Source organism: Homo sapiens, chromosome 12 (assembly GCF_000001405.40).
Source record: "Homo sapiens chromosome 12, GRCh38.p14 Primary Assembly".
NCBI lineage: Eukaryota > Metazoa > Chordata > Mammalia > Primates > Hominidae > Homo > Homo sapiens.
In genome coordinates, this window is record NC_000012.12 from 14,728,854 (window position 1) to 14,747,504 (window position 18,651).

General features: G+C 37.9%; 1 protein-coding gene and 1 long non-coding RNA gene across 2 annotated transcripts in view; one reads left to right on the forward strand and one right to left on the reverse strand.

Annotated features, from left to right (window-relative positions):
- GUCY2C-AS1 (GUCY2C antisense RNA 1) overlaps positions 1-7,366 on the forward strand; it is a 70,584-nt gene extending 63,218 nt beyond the window's left edge. Inside the window, exon 6 of the long non-coding RNA NR_186173.1 lies at positions 4,544-7,366. This is a non-coding gene — a long non-coding RNA (GUCY2C antisense RNA 1). The remainder of the gene's footprint in view (positions 1-4,543) is intronic.
- The window catches only part of LOC105369669 (uncharacterized), a 36,138-nt gene continuing 23,153 nt past the window's right edge, over positions 5,667-18,651 (reverse strand). Inside the window, exon 3 of the mRNA XM_047429947.1 lies at positions 5,667-5,936. Coding sequence (XP_047285903.1) covers positions 5,866-5,936 — 71 coding nt within the window. The 3' untranslated portion in view covers positions 5,667-5,865. The remainder of the gene's footprint in view (positions 5,937-18,651) is intronic.

Here is an 18,651-nt window from a genome sequence, read left to right on the forward strand (position 1 = left end):
CAGGTTCAAGGATTCTCCTGCCTCAGCCTCCTGAGTAGCTGGAATTATAGGTGCAAGCCACTGCGCCTGGCTAATTTTTGTATTTTTAGTAGAGGCGGGTTAACCATGTTGGTCAGGCTGGTCTTTAACTCCTGACCTCGTGATCCGCCCACCTTGGCCTCCCAGAGTCCTGGCATTACAGGCATGAGCCACCATGCCTGGCCCACAGTATGTTTTAAAGGAAGAACAGGGATTTATGTAAACCCATATCAAGGCACTGGAAATTAGAATTGGAAGGGAGAATGGTTGGAAAATCATGTGATAGAGTTTTTAAAATTTATTTTATATTTTCAGCTTTATTAAGGTTTAATTGACAAAAGCCTATAATAACAAATTAAACCTTAATAGTTAGTATACATTTATGGGTTGATAGTATATATTTATGGCATGAAACATAATGTTTTACTGCATGTATACATTGTGCAATAATTAAATCAAGCTAATTAACATATCCATGATTTCATATGCTTATCTTTTTTTATGATGAGAATAATTTAAGATCTACTCTCTTAGAAGTTTTCAAGTATACATTATATTATAAATTTTATAGTCACCATGCTGTACAATAGATCTCCAGAACGTAAATCCTCCTGTCTAACTGAAATTTCATACCCTTTGATGGGCATCTCCCATCAGTCACTATTCTGCTCTCTGTTTTTATGAGTTTGACTTTTTTAGATTCCACATATAAGTGAGATCATGCAGCATTTGTCTTTGATTAATGTTTGCATGATGTAAATTTTTGCATCCATTTACTTTCTACCTGCCTATATCTTTATATTTGAAATGAATTTCTTATAGACATCATATATTTGGGTCATGTTTTTAAGTCGACTCTGCCAAGATTTCTTTTAATTATTTTATTTGGCCCATTTACATTTAATGTAATCAATAATATGTTAAGTCTTAAGTTTGCCTTCTTGTTTTATTTTGTTTTCTGTTTGTTCTGTTTTTCATTTTTGTGTTTTATTTTTTATTTTTATGTTTTGCCTTCCTGTGGGTTACTTGAAAGTTTTGTAGAATTCTGTTTTGGTTTATCTACTGTATTTGTAGTGTATCCCTATGTAATAGCTTTTAAAATTATTGCTGTAGGTGTTATATATACATAACTTATTATGGTCTACTGGAGTCATCATTTTACCAATTCAAGCAAAGTACAGAAATGTTACTTCCGTTTATATTCCTTTATCCTCCCCAATTTATAATTGTCTTTTCAAAAAATTATTTGTTTTCCTCTTACTATCATTCCCAGTAATTGTCTCTGTGAAAATTTAGAACCACATCAGATAGTGTTGTAATTTTTGTTTTAACCATCAAATAGAAGTATGGAAACTCAAGAGGAAAAGAAAAGTGCATTGTAATTACTTACGTTTTTGCTTACCATATTCTTTCTTCCTTGGTAATGTTTCAGGGCTTCTCTTTTCCACCCCCGCCTTTCTGGTTAGAGAATGTCCTTGAGCCATTATCTTAAAGGGGTTTGCTGGGAAAAATTATATTCGTTTTCTATGATTTGAGAATATCTCAATTTCACCTTGATTCATAAAGGATATTTTTGCTGTATATAAAATTCTGGGATGTCAGTTATTTTCCTTCAGCACTAGAAAATTGTTGTGCCATATTTTTCTGGCTTTCATGGTCTCTGATGAGAAATACACTCTTCTTGGAATTGTTTTCTCCTCTATATAAGGTGTTTACCTCTCATTGCTTTGAAGACTTTTCCTTTCTCTTTAGTCTTCAGAAGTTTGACTCTGATGTGTCTTGATGTAAATTTTTGTGGGGTTTTCCTCTTTGGAGTTCATTTAGCTTATTGATTCTGTTGGTTTATGTATTTTGGCAAATTTGCAAAGTTTCAGGTATTATTTCTTTGAGTACATATTCAGCTCTCTTTCTCCTTTCAGGATTCAAATGACAAAAATGTTGGATGTTCTGTTACATTCTCATGAGTCCCTGAGGCTCTATTTACTTTTTGTGGTCTATTTTTTTCTATTGTTCAGATTGAGTAATTTTTATTCTATTTTTAAGTTTACTGTTTTTTTCTTTTGTCTTCTACATTTTGCATTATACCTATACACAGTTTTTAAAATTTTTAATAAAATGATTTTCTAGTTATAAGTTTTCTATTTTTAAATATATGTTATTTTTTAGAGTTGTTTGGGGTTCACAGCAAAATTAAGCAGAAAATACAGAGAATTCCCATACATCTCTTGCTCCCACACATGCACAGCCTCTCCTACTATCAACATTCCACACCAGAGTCATACATTTGTTACGATTGATGAATCTACATCGACACATCTTTATCAACAAATGTCTATAGTTTACATTAGGGCTCATTCTTGATGTACATTCCATGGGTTTTGAAAAATGTGTAATGATATGTATCTACCATTGTAGTATCATACAGAATAATTTCGCTGCCCTTAAAATCCCCTGTATAGCTTTTTGTATCTTCTATTATTTTGCTGAGACTTTTAATTTTTTGTTTCAAATGTGTTTATAATTTCTCATTGAAATATTTTTTTGACAGCTGCTTGAAAAAGATCATTCTAACATCTCCATACCTCAATGTTGGCATCTATTGATTGTCTTTTTCATTCAGTTTGAGTTCTGTATGTTCCTTGAAATACTGTGATTTTCTATTGAAATCTGGACATTTGAGTATTATGCAATGAGACTGTAGATTTTATTTTAACCTTCTCTTTTGTCCTTGAACATCACTCTGGCAGAGAAAGGGAGGAGCACTGTCTCATTGCTGCCAGGTAGAAGAAATCTAGGTCTCCCACTCAGCCTCTGCTGGCATCCAGTGTAGATGCTCCTCATTCCTGCTGTGTAAGAGTGGAAATTCTAGCTGCCCATGAGGTCTTCACTGATAACTCCTTAGCTGGGAGGAATTGGAGTACCTGCACCCTGGGTGGCTTCCCCTGATGCTGTGGTGAGAGTATGTTTTCACGGCTTTAATATTACTGACTGGGTGGTTGGGGAAGTCCTGATTCTCTAGTAGGACTCTGTTGTCACGACCCCAGCGGGTAGTGGTAGGGGTGCCTAGTTACTGTCATGTGGGAGTAAAAGTTCAGGTTCCCATCTAGTCTCCACTAACAACCTGGGTGAGTGTGTGTGTGTTGTGGCGGGGGGAGCAGGTGCTTATCACCCAGTGAAGATAAAATTTCTGACTCTCCACTTGGCCCTCTCTGATACCATCCCGGGGTGGGGGCCTTTGGAGGACCTTCTGACAGCCTGGCAAGGATGTAAATCTGGGATTCCACTCAGCTTTTGCTGCTGGTGGTGGTGGTAGAGCTAATTTTTTTCCGTGATATTTGGCTGGAATACAGCAGTTCTTATCTAAAAGTTTTCTTACTAAGCTGCCCTTTCCTAGTCCTCTGGATAGAGACAGCAGGCTTTTGTTGGGAATTGTTTTGTCTGCACCTGTAGTGTTTCCAGACTGCCACTTTCTTCAGTTCCACATCTGGGATATATGAGGCCAGAGGAAGACCTAGGAAACTCACGACTATGTTATTCACTGCATTCTAAGTCTCCTCATTTGTCTGTGTTTTTCTCTCCACCTCTCAGAGTCTTCTTATGTTTGTTTTATATATAATATCCAAGGTTTCTGGTGTACTTAGCATGAAGAATAGGAAAAAGTACATCAACTCTATTTTTGTGGAAGTGGAAGTCTACCATTGAATTTTGCTATAATTTTCTTCCTTTACACCATGACTTCATTTCTAGATCCTTAGCTTGCAGATAGCTTAGGTGGGGAGGCCAAGAAATTTTTCTATGGCATTCAATTAACTGATAAATAAACAGTTAAAGAACAGAGATTGCAAGAGCTCTTCTCCAGTTTTGAGAGGATGGAGGAAAGGAGGTTAGCTGTGAGTGGCATTACTGGCTAAGTGCAAAGCTCATCTATGGATATGAGGGTTAAAGAGAAGAAAGGAGGTAACAAGGAAAGTGGGCAAAGAATATTTACCTGTATGACTTATCTACAATAATGGACGAGTACTTAAATTGTAAATAATGCAAGCAAGACTCTTATTTTGTCAATATATTATTTAGTCTTCTTTATATATAAAACACAAAATTTATTTTGACATACAAAGTGAATTTTGTAATAATAGTGTGACAACTAGAAGGTAAAAAGAAAAATATGACAACTTCAGACTTAGGTACCTAAGATTCTGTGTTTCCAGTATCAAATTAATGTAAGTAATGGAAGCTTTGATTTCACAGCACAGTATCTTGTGTGAAGTTATTTAAATAATTTTGAAAGACATTGCAAATCATATCAAAGAGGATTCATTAGGCATGTGATACTCAGTAGAATCAATATAAACCATGTTACTTATTATATTTTATCTTGATTTTCTATATTCCCATAATAATTCAATTAAACGCTCTGCTCTCACACTACCAGTAGATGCATACATAGGAAGAAAGAAGTTTATACCATGGTTAATATATTTATTCTAGGGTCCCAGAATATTCTTTTTTTTTTTTCTTTTTTCAGATGGAGTCTTGTTCTGTTGCCCAGGCTGCAGTGCAGTAGCATGACCTCTGCTCGCTGCAAACTCCACCTCCAGGTTTCAAGCAATTCTCCTGCTTCAGCCTCCCGAGTAGCTGGGACTGCAGGCATGCACCACCACACCCAGCGAGTTTTGTATTTTCAGTAGAGATGGGGTTTCACATGTTGGCCAGGCTAGTCTCAAACTCCTGACCTCAAGTGATCCTCCCTCCTTGGCCTCCCAAAGTGCTGGGATTACACCCAGCCCCAGCATATTCTTTTAATCATATTCATTTGCTTATGGTACAGGCACTTAAGTTTTTTAGAATCCTTAATGTCTCATAATGTTACCATCTTGAATTGTGTAAAAGTTTAATATCTAAATATGCTAAACAAAATATGCTGAAGAAGAAATTAAGCTTAATGTGTAATGAATGACAAATGGAAAAGGTGGCTTATGACGTACCTTAGAAAATATTCCCTAGAAATGTGTAGAAAAGAGAATGATGATGTCTATAGACAAAATTTGTCAGAAGAAATGAGTCAGTTAGGTCAGCCAGTCAGTAGATTGGCTGAGAATCAGTAGATCTGTTAAATGACTGTCGTGTGTGTGTGTGTGTGTGTGTGTGTGTGTGTGTGTGTGTGTGTCAGTCAGGGGGTAGATAGTAAATTCTAATAAAGAATATTTAGCCCATTTGTTATTAGACTAGTTCACCCAATAATGAAAATTGTAATCCTCCAAGTACAAAAACAATGTTAAAAAAACTAAATGAGCAGCTCATGGAGGTCACACAGATGCCTAAGCTCAACATGTCCATAATTTAACAACTTTCATCCCTTATTCTGCTATTTCTTCAGCAATTTTTTTCTTGGATATATAGCTCTGCCATCTGTGTTAGCCAACCCAGAGACTTTCTTTCTTCCCCCATATCCAAGTTATAAAAATCTTACCTGCTTTAACGCATCTCTGATCACTATTCTCAAATTCTCTGCTTCAGTCACACTGAGATTTTTCTCTTTCCCCTGGGCCTTCCCTCTTTGGGACATGTTCTCTCTATCCCCATGAATTCTTGTTAGTAAGTTTAAAGTGAGCCTAAGCATCTGTGTTGTTAGCAAAATTTTCAGACGATTTTACACCCAGTCCAAGAATCATTTTATTGAGACATTCCAGTTACTTACTTTGTGCATCTATACTTCTGTCTTCTCCTTTCCTCTTGCTTCAGTGATGGATCCATCCCTGCTTGTTTAAGATCAACGCCTCCATCTGCATCTGGATGGCATCCCATCTCTCCCACTCAACACATTGTTCCTGCAATTGCTCCCTCTCTCTAATGCAGCATCAATTCTTCTCTCTCTACTTGATGATTCCACCAGCATACGGACATGCTGCCATGGCTTCCTATTTTAAGCAAAATAAACAAAATACTCTCCAGATGCCTCTCTTTATGGACTCTTTAAATCACTGCCTATATTTATTGCCTTCCTTTTCTCAACTCACATTCTCTTTAAACTCACACTGACCAATCTTTCAGACCCTCCACTTCTTGAAAATTACTCTTGTTAATGTGGCCAATGACGTGTATTAACACCCATACTGATACTCAGTTCACAGTTGAAACATTTTTTTCTTATAAATGTTTTCTTTACATTTATGGTCTCTAGATGTTGAGGTGGCTCAGGGATCATCTATTTATTTATTTTTATTTATTTTTCTTTTTTTTTCTTTCACCTGTCAGCTCATACCTAGCCGTCTTCTATTTTTTAGGTATGCTCACTTCCTTGATGATCTCGTAGAGCTCAAAGCCTCAAATACGATCTATATGCTGGTGACACTGATATATATATATATATATTTCCAGCTTTGACCTTTCCCCTAACCTCAAGAATTTTATGTACAACTGCCTACCTGACATTTCCACCTGGATGTCTAATACAAATTTTCAGTTTAACATGTCCAAAACCACACTCCTGTTTTTCTCTGCCCCCTTCTTAATCCTGCTCCTCCCCTAGTCTTCCCCACATCAATAATGACAAGTACATCCCTTCACAACTCTAGTTTCTCAAGCTACAGTTAACTCTTCTTTCTCTTTTATACTGTACATCTAATCCCTCTCTAATTTCCAATAGGTTGGCTTTACCTTCAAAATACATCCAGAATCCAACTGCTTCTCACCATTGCTATTGCTACCACTCTGGTTCAAATGACCATCATCTCTTGCATTCTTGCACCCTATAGGTTATGCTCCTTACAACAGATAAAATGCCCCTTTTAAATCATAATTCAGATTATATTACCTCTTAGTTCAAAACCCTTCAGTGGCTCCCATCTCATTTACAATAAGGGTAATGCTTTTCCAGTAGTTCCCAATATTTCAAGCTAACAGACCCTCTGATCTCATGTCCTACCATTGTTTCCTTCACCAAGTCTGCTTTAGCTTCACTGGCCTTCTGGATATTTCTTCAACACACTAGACGTGTTATGAACTGAATGTTTGTGTCTCCCTAAATTAATATGTTGAAGCCCCTTTCTCCAATGTGATGATATGTGAAGATGAGGCCTTTGGGAGGTAATTAGGGTTAGATGAGATCATAAGGGTGGGACTTTCATAATGGGATTAGGGCCTTTGTAAGAGGAGACACCGGAGAGCTTGCTTTCTCTTTTTCTCCTGCTCATGCATGCACTAAGAAGGTTATGTGAGCACAATGAGATGACAGCCACCTATAAGCCAAGAGACCAGGCCTCAGAATAAAACCTACCATGCCAGCACCTTGATCTTGGACTTCCAAGCTTTCAGAACTATGAGAAATAAATTTATGTTGTTTAAGCCACCCAGTTGATGGTGCTCTGTGATGGCAGCCTGAACTAAGTAGTACAGAATGGTCCCATTTCATAGCTTTTGCACTTGCCACTCTCCTACCTTGAATACTCCTCTCTCATATACTTCATTGCTCATTTTCTCACCTCCTTCAGGCTTTACTCAATGTTGCTTTAGTAAAGTCTTCTCTGACCGCTCTATTAAAAATTGCAACCCCTGCCAGGTGCGGTGGCTCACACCTGTAATCCCAGTACTTTGGGAGGCTGAGACAGGTGGATCACCTGAGGTCAGGAGTTCCAGACCAGCCTGACCAACATGGTGAAACCCTGTCTCTACTAAAAATACAAAGTTAGCCGGGCATGGTGGCGCATGCCTGTAATCCCAGCTACGCGGAAGGCTGCGGCAGGATAATTACTTGAACCCAGAGGGCAGAGGTTGCAGTGAGCCGAGATTGCGCCATTGCACTCCAGGCTGGGCAACAAGAGTGAAACTCTGTCTCAAAAAAAAAAAAAAATTGCAACCCCTTCCCCCACCCTGTCTGACTGTACTGTATTTAGAGCTATTTGGCACATGCGCGTGCGCGCGCGCACGCACGCGCACACACACACACACACACACACACACACATATCTGATTTTTTTCTGTTTATTCCCAGTTGAATGTTATGTCCATGACAGCAGGGATTTTTACCTATTGTGTCTGCTGGTGTAGTCCCAGTAACTAAATTGGTGATGGCACAAAAATGGAAAGACAGTTATTTTTAAAGAGATGTTATTATTTATTTATTTTTTCTTTTTTTTAAATTTTACTTTAAGTTCTGGGATACATGTGCAGAACGTGCAGGTTTGTTACATAGGTATACATTTGCCATGGCGTTTAGCTGCCCTTATTTACTTTTTTTAAGATAGTAAGGCTGACTTGATTGGAGGAGGCCATGGCAGCAGCTATAGGAGCCATTGCAGTGGGGTCTTGCAGTGTGGGAGAGAGCTTGGACTCAAGTCCTTTAAAGAGATTTCAGAATAGGATAAAGAAACTGTGGCTCAGAGTGATCCTTAGATTTGTGTAAGTTCACATAAATAACAGTCATGGAAATTGCAATGAAAAGCTCTGTAATTCCATGTCTAATTCTCCCTGCCTCATAGAATGCAGCCCTTCTAACTTCATTATGTTCTAATCTTGGAATGTAGACTACCTCTCAGGGTTGGTGAAAACAAAAAGGATAAGCATGCCATGATCCTTCTAGAACTCAAAACTTGGATTCGTACCTGGGATTTAATGTGGTACCATTTTCAAATAAATCTCCAACTAGAATTATAGCTTCATTTGTTTATTCGTGGCAACAATTTCTTTGGTTGGTGACTGAAGCAAATTTTTCTGAAAAGCCCAAATCCACCATATACCAGGGATCTGCCTCTCATTGGTTTTTGAATATATGTAATTTTTTCTAATACAATGGCTTTCTCAAGTGATCTGGATTGATTGAAGGTGATAGACTGAGTTATATGTTTCCTGTGAGACAACATTAGAGATAATATTGAAATATTAACTACATTAACTATGCAGTTGTAGCAATAATTAATGACCAACAGGAAATTAAAATACCTTGCAAACAGTTTACAGATAACAATAAAAAGGAAATTTTGTAGGCTTCTGGGTAATCATTACATTATTCTCATATTTATAAACTGTTTTTCCAAATAGATATTTTTAAGAAGTTAACAAAGTACTGTGAGTATATGTGCCAAATCAAATAGAACAAAATTTTTACGATGTTTGCCCTCCTCAGTTCTGCTCCACATAGGCAATTTTAAGGTCTTTTGTAAGTTGAAAATATAAATGTCCTTCATCACTGCTTCTATGGGTTCTTTACATCTTTCACTCTAACGATATGCAACTTATATTGCAATTTTGCAAAAACAAAGGAAAAAACGTCTACCATGTGGCTAGCGTAAGTAGCTAGATTCTGCTATCCATTCTGCATGTAGCCATCTGCCTTGTGGGTATAATTGCAATGATCTACATTTCTCACATTGTTAGAGTTAGAAGTATGTGAAAAAGGTAAGTTTTATGGCTGACAAAATTGGATAGAGTTGATATATGTAACTTACATCTAGGGCTGGCACTACACATTAATTTTTTAATTCTAGAAAAAGATGTAGTATATAATAATATGTATCAACTGCTTGGGTGATTTTGACTGAATTAATTGTTGTAAGCAAATTACTGGTAAATGTTATTAAATGCCCATTTTACCTGCAAGAAATGAGTTTCATTTTAGCAAGCTGAAAGACCAACTTGATGAATATATTAAATATTCACTTGAGAATAGTGTATTTCCATATAGCTAGATTATACAAATGTTAAGAACGCTGTCTGCAGTTAATTCTTCAAACTATAAGTGGAAATAAGAACTACTGCTGAATGGGCATAAAATGATATGAAAGCTTAATGAGTTGTTAACTTGATATTTTTAACACTTAAAATTTCAACCCTTACCTGGAATTTGTCTTGCCACTCTGAGCAAGTGAGTACCCAATTAAAATCGCAAGTGTCTTTATTTGTCCATGAATACATTCTCTTCAGTTGGTGACTGACACAACATTCATAGTCCATTTGGAACCCAAATCCATCATCCACCAATGTTCAGTTTCTTCTGGGGTTTGACTAGACAGGCTTTTATCAAAGTCACTCACTAGAGAGCCATCACTTGCTCTGTCAGAAGACATCAAAGGATCACGGAGACTGGACTGGGTGGATGTTTTCCCGTGAGATTATATTGGACATGAAATGCAAAAATAAGTGATAGCCAAAGTGAGCTAGCATATACTTTCTCAAAGTAATCAAAACTGGGCCAAAACCTTTACTGGTTGGTTTCCAAAAATCACTTGGCTTCTCCCATTCCTTGGACCTTTATTCCTCATCATTCTTCTTTTACTATTTGGTCCCTGCCTTTTTACCACTCTCATTAAGTTTATATCTTCTAGATTATAATGATTTCACCTATAGATGACCTTGCAAGCCCAATACCAGCCTGCAACAGCAACTTCCATTTACATGGGGCCTCTTGATGGAATCTGGTCCCCCACCATTCCTTCCACCCTGGCCCATGGACAAGTTTTTCATGACCCTTCATTTCCTTCATGCAGAAGTAGCCAGACAGATTTGATGCTCCCCTTCACCGTGCTGTTTTCCCTTTCTGGAGACCCTAATAGGCAGCAGGTAGACAGGAGCATGAGGGTATACAAAGGGTCAAAGATTTGACCAAGATATTTATTAGGGGAAAATGAGGAGAGCAAAGACCACCTGGTGGTGGCCATTAAGCAGACCATCCAGAGGCAAAACTCCTTCTCTGAGGAATTTAGAAGTAATTACATGTCCCTATTATCTAAAGCTGGCATTGAGTACCTGACTTCTTTCCCAAAAATTTATAAGTAACAAAAATTTCTATACATCTCTGGAATGCACACATGTCGAAACTCGTTGTGCAACCCTTGCTGACATCAAGGCACCAAAATGTCTACAAATGTAATTATTTATTATGGCCTAGGTGGGTAATATGGCCCAAATTACCCTTAAGCTCCCTCTTCAAGGTCCATAAATGCCCCTAAGGAAAAATACATCGTGGTGTGCTCAGTCCTCTCTTGCTGAAGTGCCCCACTGCACTCTGCTGCAGTGTTCTTTCTATCTAATAAAACTTTCCCTTTCAAACCTATACTGCTGTGGGTAAATTCTTCTTTCTACCTCCGAGCCTACCACCTTCCATTGCCGGGGCTCTGACACCTTGCGAAACAAATATAAAGAAGCTTTTATCAAAAAAAGCTTGGGAATCAATCACAGCATTATGCAAATTGGCCATAAAAGCTGCAAGAAAAATTTGAAGAATCCTGTTTTGATATTGGTAAATTTCGAGTTGATTTTCAATTTATGCAATACTTCTTTGAAATCAATGTTAATAATACCAATTTAACACAACAGTTAGTGAATTTACTTAACCTGGATGGAACTAGTTTTGAATCTTATATGTTTTTACTTCAAAGTTAGATCAATTCTTTAAAATGATAAACAAGTTTTGTCAATATAAATGTCCATAGTAAAGAAAAAAAATTTTTTTTGTACTTGATTCAACTATTGAAACATTCTAAAGTATGTTTGAAATAACTTGGATATGTGAAACATTTTCAACTGTAAACTTTATGAAATCCAGTAAATTGAAAAGTCTCCTGATTGAGATGTATGTGTAAAATACACACTAGATTTCAAAAGCTTAGTGCAATAAAAGAATGTATAATGCCTCAAATTTTTGTTTTTGTTTTTGTGACAATCTCACTCTGTCACCCAGGCTGGAGTGCAGTAGTGCAGTCTTGGCTCACTGCAACCTCCGCCTCTGGGGTTCAAGCAATTCTTGTGCCTCAGCCTCCCGAGTAGCTGGAATTACAGGCATGTGCCACCACACTCGGCTAATTTTTGTGTTTTTAGCAGAGATGGGGTTTTATCATGTTGGCCAGGCTGGTCTTGAACTCCTGACCTCAAGTGATCCTCCCGCCTTGGGCTCCCAAAGTGCTGGGATTACAGGCGTGAGCCAACAATTGACCTCAACAATTTTTTTTTTTTTTTGGTTTGCTGTTGAAATGATATTTTGGACATATTGAGTCAAGTAAAATATATTTGAAAAATTAATTTTACCAATTTCTTTTTTCTTTTTTAAAATGGGTACTAGAAAGTTTTAAATTACACGTGTGGCTCACATAACAGCACTACATTTTTATTGAGCAGCTCTGTTCTAGATTAGTTCATGGCTGGCTCCACACAAAACATGAACTATTTTAAAAAGACAATTGTCTAATTTAACAGTTGATTCTTTTGAAAACCCAGTTTTCTCCTGTTACGAAGAGGAACTAACTAACTAAAGAAAGAAAGAAAGCTGATTTCAAACTGAGGCTCCTTTATTTATTAGCATTATGTCTTTTGTCAAGTTTATTAACATCTTCAGTATAAATGAGGGCAATACGTTTATTTCATAGGAATGTCATGAGGATCAAACTAAGTAAAGCAGATAATGTACTTAGCACAGTGCTGGGTACATAGTTAGCCCCACATCTGTGGTTAATGACTAAACCTGGAAATCAGTGCCGGGCATGGTCGCTCATGCCTGTAATCACACTTTTGGAGGCCAGGGCAGGGTGATCGCTTGAGCCCAGGAGTTCAAGGCTGCAGTGAGCTATGATCATGCCATTGCATTCCAGCTTGGGTGACAGAATGAGACTCCAAATCTAAAAAAATTTAAAATAAAAATAGAACTGTAAATCAGTGAGGAACTAAACTAAAAAGTGATCAGAAAAAGAAGGAATGGATTTTTAGAACGTTCAAATGGAGACTAGATGTCAGGGTGGACAACAGAGGGCAACAGAGGGCGGGACAAGAATAGGAAAACTCCCAGGCCACAAAAAAGGAAAATTAAATCTGTGAGAAAATTATTCAATTTTAAACATGTTGAGGAGTAGGTGACCGTGGAAATTTTAGAGGAGATAATATTTGGTAGAAAATCCAGGTTTGGAGCTAAGGAGATTGGTCTGAATTCTCAACAGAGACTTGGAGTCCATAGGTAAGAGGTAGTAGTAGGTGGAGCCATGGAAAGGTGTGAGATTACCCAGGGAATGTGTTGAGACACAATATAATAAAGAGACAGCTCACTGAGAAAGACAATCAGGACACCCTGGCATCTAAAAGGAAGGCAAGCCTGTAATCCTAGAACTTTGGGAGGCCAAGGCGGGCAGATCACCTGGGGTTAGGAGTTCAAGACCAGCCTTGCAAACATGGTGAAACCCCATCTCTATTAAAAATACAAAAAAATTAGCCAGGTATGGTAGTAGGTCCTTGTAGTCCCAGCTACTTGGCAGGCTGAGGCAGGAGAATTGCTTGAGCCAGAGAGGTGGATGTTGCAGTGAGTCAGTATCATGCCACTGAACTCCAGCCTGGGCGACAGAGAGAGACTCTGTCTCAAAACAAAACAAAACAAAATAAATAAAATTAAAGTAGGGCAGAGGACAAGGATCTTGTAGAAGAGACTGAAGAGGAATAACCTGGGAGGTAGGAGGAAAAATAGAAAAGATACAAAATGAAAACCAAGAAAGGATGAATTTCTCAGCATGCCCTCGAATATGTGGAAGAAAAGGGAATATAAGAGATATACTCACCAAAATTTTCATTACCTGGTAACATTTTACCAAAGACTGACCTTTGCAGAGAGTTAAACATTTTGTACACCTGGAAGTGGTGATGGCCTCATATCTCCTTTTCATCCCTTGATATGGAAAAGTCTAACGTTTTATGAGCCTAGCAGCCATTTGTCTGGTTTGCTAAAGTCTCCTAACCCCAGTTTGTTTTGTACACAGATATCTGTATCACTTTTCACAAATGTAATTAGATTCAATAACAAAAACAAAATGTATTGTTTACAATATGGCCATGAATTTGCTGAATTCTGCTTATTGAAATGTCATTGCTTAAAATAAAGAAATACAGTGTGGAAGAAAGATCTGTGGGTATCTTAGAAAACGTGAATTAAAGTCCCTGCCCAAATCTGGAAGCAGAGGAATCAGGAACTTCTACAAGTGCACCACCTGGTAACGTTTTACTGAAGACTGACCTTTGCAGAGAGTTAAACATTTTGTACACCTGTAAGTGGTGATGGCCACATATCTCCCTTTCATCTCTTTTTATGGAAAAGTCTGTGGTCTTATGAGCCCAAGGTAGGGACTGTAGCACATCTTATTTGAAACCAGATTACTAGTTAAGAGGTTAAAATGAGATATCGCAAAGAATCCACACTGAGGAATCAGGGCTTATACTTTTCAAAAAGGCTATTTCTTCTAGAGAAACATTTTAACTAAGTGTAGTGCTGAACTTTCATTATTATCCACTGATTTATTTTTGTTAGAGAATGAATTCTGAATCAGTATATGTGGTTCCATGGAAAAAAGGCCAATTATTTTGCAATAATATTATATAAAATCCTCTCTGTAAGAATTAAAGAGGAAAGAAACATGAAAGGTGGCTCGACAGCCAAGGACAGGTTTATTTTAGAGAAAACAAACCTGAGAGGGGCTTCTGGCTGAGTTAGGTCAGAGCCTGCTCTCTTACAGACTAAGTAAGAGTTTTTAAGGATTCAGGGTGGGAGAGTTTATCAGAGGCTTGGACTGCTTCTGTGTCTTTATTGTGCTTATCTGGGAGGGAGAGTTTCATGACTGTTCCCATACATCTTCCTGCAGCTGCAGGCATACCCCCCAAGTCTGCTTTTAGCTTGCCTCTTAGTGCACCTGAAGGGAAAGGAATGAGCTTTTTAAGGCCCACTGTTTTACCGGGGCCCATTGTATGAGGGTGAAGTTTGGCAGAGACTTTCCCCCCACTTCCTCCTGTGCCGGAGCTGTCTTATCTTTGTTTTACTGTCTGCTCTTTCTGGCTGCTCCTTATTAGAAGGGAAGTGATTTCCTTGAAATGCATGAGGCTAGAAAGGGAGCTGGAACTTAAAATGGCAGTGGTTGTCTGAGATGACGGTTCTCCTGTTGTGTCACTCACCCTATTGTTGAAAATGGTACAAACATCCTCCTTATCCTGCCTATTATTTAATGCATCTCTCTCTTCTGCTTTTTGATATATCCCATCAATATTTTTCTCCATATGCCATCTTAGTTCAGATCTTTATCATTTCACATGGTTTCCAACATCAGCCTTTTATCTGGTTTGCTGAAGTTTCCTAACCTCAGTTTGTTTTGTACACAGCTATCTGTATCATGTTTCACAAACGTAATTAGATTCAGTAACAAAAACAAAATGTATTGTTTACAATAGAGCCATTAATATGCTGACTTCTGGTTATCAAAATGTCATTGCTTAAAGAAATAGATTGTGGAAGAAATATCTGTGGGTGAGGATCTTAGAAAATGTGAATTAAAGTCCCTGCTATATACCATATAATAAGTTTTATTTTCCTCATTTAGGCTTTAGTTTTCTCATTTGTAAAACAAAGTAGTTTAAATAGATGATCTCTGAAGCTTCTAAATCCTGATACTGAATATAGCTTGACTGGCCCATGGACATTCAGGTCTTTGCATTGAGTTTCCCATTAAATTTTCTGAGGCATTTTTTTTTCATTCAATAAAGTTTAAGGAACATGAGTCAGTAGCGGGCCCCATGTTGGACCCTGGGTGTAGAAAAATTCCCCACCCAGAGAAACAGAAGACAGCCATCCATCCACATATTTGTACTACATCAATATGTACTCAAGGCAGCAAGAGCAGCATTGTACACAGTGCAATGGAAGGGCAATGATAAAAAATAGCTTTGCCTGAGGATGCTAAATGAAGATAATAGGCAAGCCTACATGGTAGATACAAGAATAGAAAAAAAAAAAACCTGAAAAGCAAGGAGGCAGAAAAGATTCAATAAAATGTTAGGTAGACATCTGATTAAAGTGGATTATTAAATACAAACTCCTAGTTAAGTGCAGTGGATTAAATGTATATGCTTATCTTTGCTTCTCCTTATTTCTCTAAAATGATAATGCATAGATTAAAAAAATACAAACTGTAAAAGAAAAAAAAGAGAAGATAACAGCTGACCAGAGATGGCAAGAAAATTGGGAAAAATTAGAGAGAATATGGACATGAGAAAATTCACTTAGAAGACTGAATAAAGATGAAAACTATGTACTCTACAAGTTCAGGGGAGAGCCAAAAAAAGCAACTTCCACTTGCATTGAGGAACTCCAAAAGTGTCAGAAATTAAAAATGCAAGATGCCTCTGAAGGTAGTTGTGCAGATAGGGCTGAAAACAGAAGGTCTGGTTTAAAGTTGGTTTGAGAATCAGTTAGAGCCTGTGCGGCCCACCCTTACCTCAACAGAGATGGGAGGTTTATTCTCTGGAGACACTGAATCAGAGGATTCAATGTGAAGGATAGACATCTGCTATCCTTCACACTCAGGACAGCAGAAAGGTGAGGAGGCTGAACTGAAAGGGGTAGGGACTAGAAACCTACACACTGAAAAATGAGACCCCAAGCTCCAGTCCACAACTTTGGGTTTGTTTACATGTAGACTTATTATTGTACAGGCAGAGGATTCTCATGGAAAACTGACATAGCAAAAAAAAAAAAAAAAAAACCTAAGGATACTGGCAGCTAATGATTCACTTAAAAATAAGTCCCTACCTGTTACCCTACAGAGAAAGTCATTGGTCAACAGGTAGAACTTAAGTACAAAGCTTGCAATCAGCTTTCCAGTGCCGCACTATTAAATATGAATGGGAAGCTTAAATATTATCTGGCATTAGAGGGAAGCCTCCATTATAAAATACACAGAAAAAAACTATATATAAAATATACAGAAAATATACAGAAAAAGTACTCCAAAAAATTAAAAGTGTAAGAAGAATAATGAAGTATCGGGGAACCTGCCCCCTGTAGTCACGTAGGTTCTTTTCTGTTTTCCCCAAGCGTCAGCCAGGTTGAGAAATAAAGGGACAGAGTACAAAAGAGAGAAATTTTAAAGCTGGGTGTCTGGGGGAGACATCACATATCGGTAGGTTCCGTGATGCCCCCCGAGCCATGAAACCAGCAAGTTTTTATTAGTGATTTTCAAAAGGGGAGGGAGTGTACGAATAGGGTGTGGGTCACAGAGATCATGTGCTTCACAAGGTAATAGAATCTCACAAGGCAAATGGAGGCAGGGCGAGATCACAGGACCACAGGACTGGGGCGAAATTAAAATTGCTAATGAAGTTTCGGGTACCATTGTCATTGATATCATCTTATCAGGAGATAGGGTTTGAGAGCAACCAGTCTGACCAAAATTTATTAGGTGGGAATTTCCTCATCCTAATAAGCCTGGGAGCGCTATGGGAGACTGGGGCTTATTTCATCCCTACAGTTTTGACCATAGAAGACGGCCACACCCAAGGGGGCCATTTTAGAGGCCGACCCTCAGGGGTGCATTCTCTTTCTCAGGGATGTTCCTTGCTGAGAAAAAGAATTCAGCGATGATATTTCTCCCATTTGCTTTTGAAAGAAGAGAAATATGGCTGTGTTCCTCCCGGCTCACCAGTAGTCAGAGTTTAAGGTTATCTCTCTTGTTCCCTGAACATTGCTGTTATCCTGTTCTTTTTTCAAGGTGCCCAGATTTCATATTGTTCAAACACACATGCTCTAAAATTTGTGCAGTTAATGCAATCATCACAGGGTCCTGAGGCGACATACATCCTCCTCAGTTTACGAGATGACAGGATTAAGAGATTAAAGTAAAGACAGGCATAGGAAATCACAAGGGTATTGATTGGGGAAGTGATAAGTGTCCATGAAATCTTCACAATTTATGTTTAGAGATTGCAGTAAAGACAGGCGTAAGAAATTATAAAAGTATTAATTTGGGGAACTAATAAATGTCCATGAAATCTTCACAATCCACGTTCTTCTGCCATGGCTTCAGCCGGTCCCTCCGTTCAGGGTCCCTGACTTTCCGCAACAATGAAGCATTGAAAAAAGAAATCTAAGCAGCCCCAAAGATATGAGATAATATTGCAACCCTGAAACAAGAAAAACTATGTGTTTATTTAAAAAGCAATATTCAAAGAGCAAAACAACATCTCACAAAAAAATAAAAAGCCATTAAAAAATTCCATTAGGATGAAAGATAAAGCTTAAGAAACTTCCAATAGTACAGCAAAAAATGCAGAGAATGAATAAAATATAATAATAAATAATAGATTTCTATTAAGAGGGAAGAAAGGAAACAGAGAAAATTATCAAATAAATAATAAGAAATAACAGGCCTACTAAGTACCCTGCACAACAAATGAAGACCTACACCAAACAATGAAGCATTTCAAAGCGCAGCTAGAAAGATACAATTCTAAAAGCTTTTAGACGTAAAAAGTCAAATACATGGGATTAGAAATCAGAATGTCTTTAAATTTCTCAATAGCTTGATGGAAACTAGCTGATATGGTTTAGACCTTTATCCCCTCTAAATCTCATGTTGAACTGTAATCCCCAATGTTGGAGGTGGGGCCTGGTGGGAGATGTTTGGGTCGTGTGGGTGGATCCCTCATGAATAGTTTGGTGCTGTCCCTGCAGTAATCAATTCAGGTAAGATCTGGTTGTTTAAAAGGGTGTGGCACTTCCCCTGTCTCTCTTGCTCTCTCTCTCCCCCTGTGATGTGCTTGCTTCCCTTTGCCTTCTGCCATGATTGAAAGCTTCTTGAGGGCCTCACCAGAAGCAGATACCAACACTATGCTTCCTGTACAGTC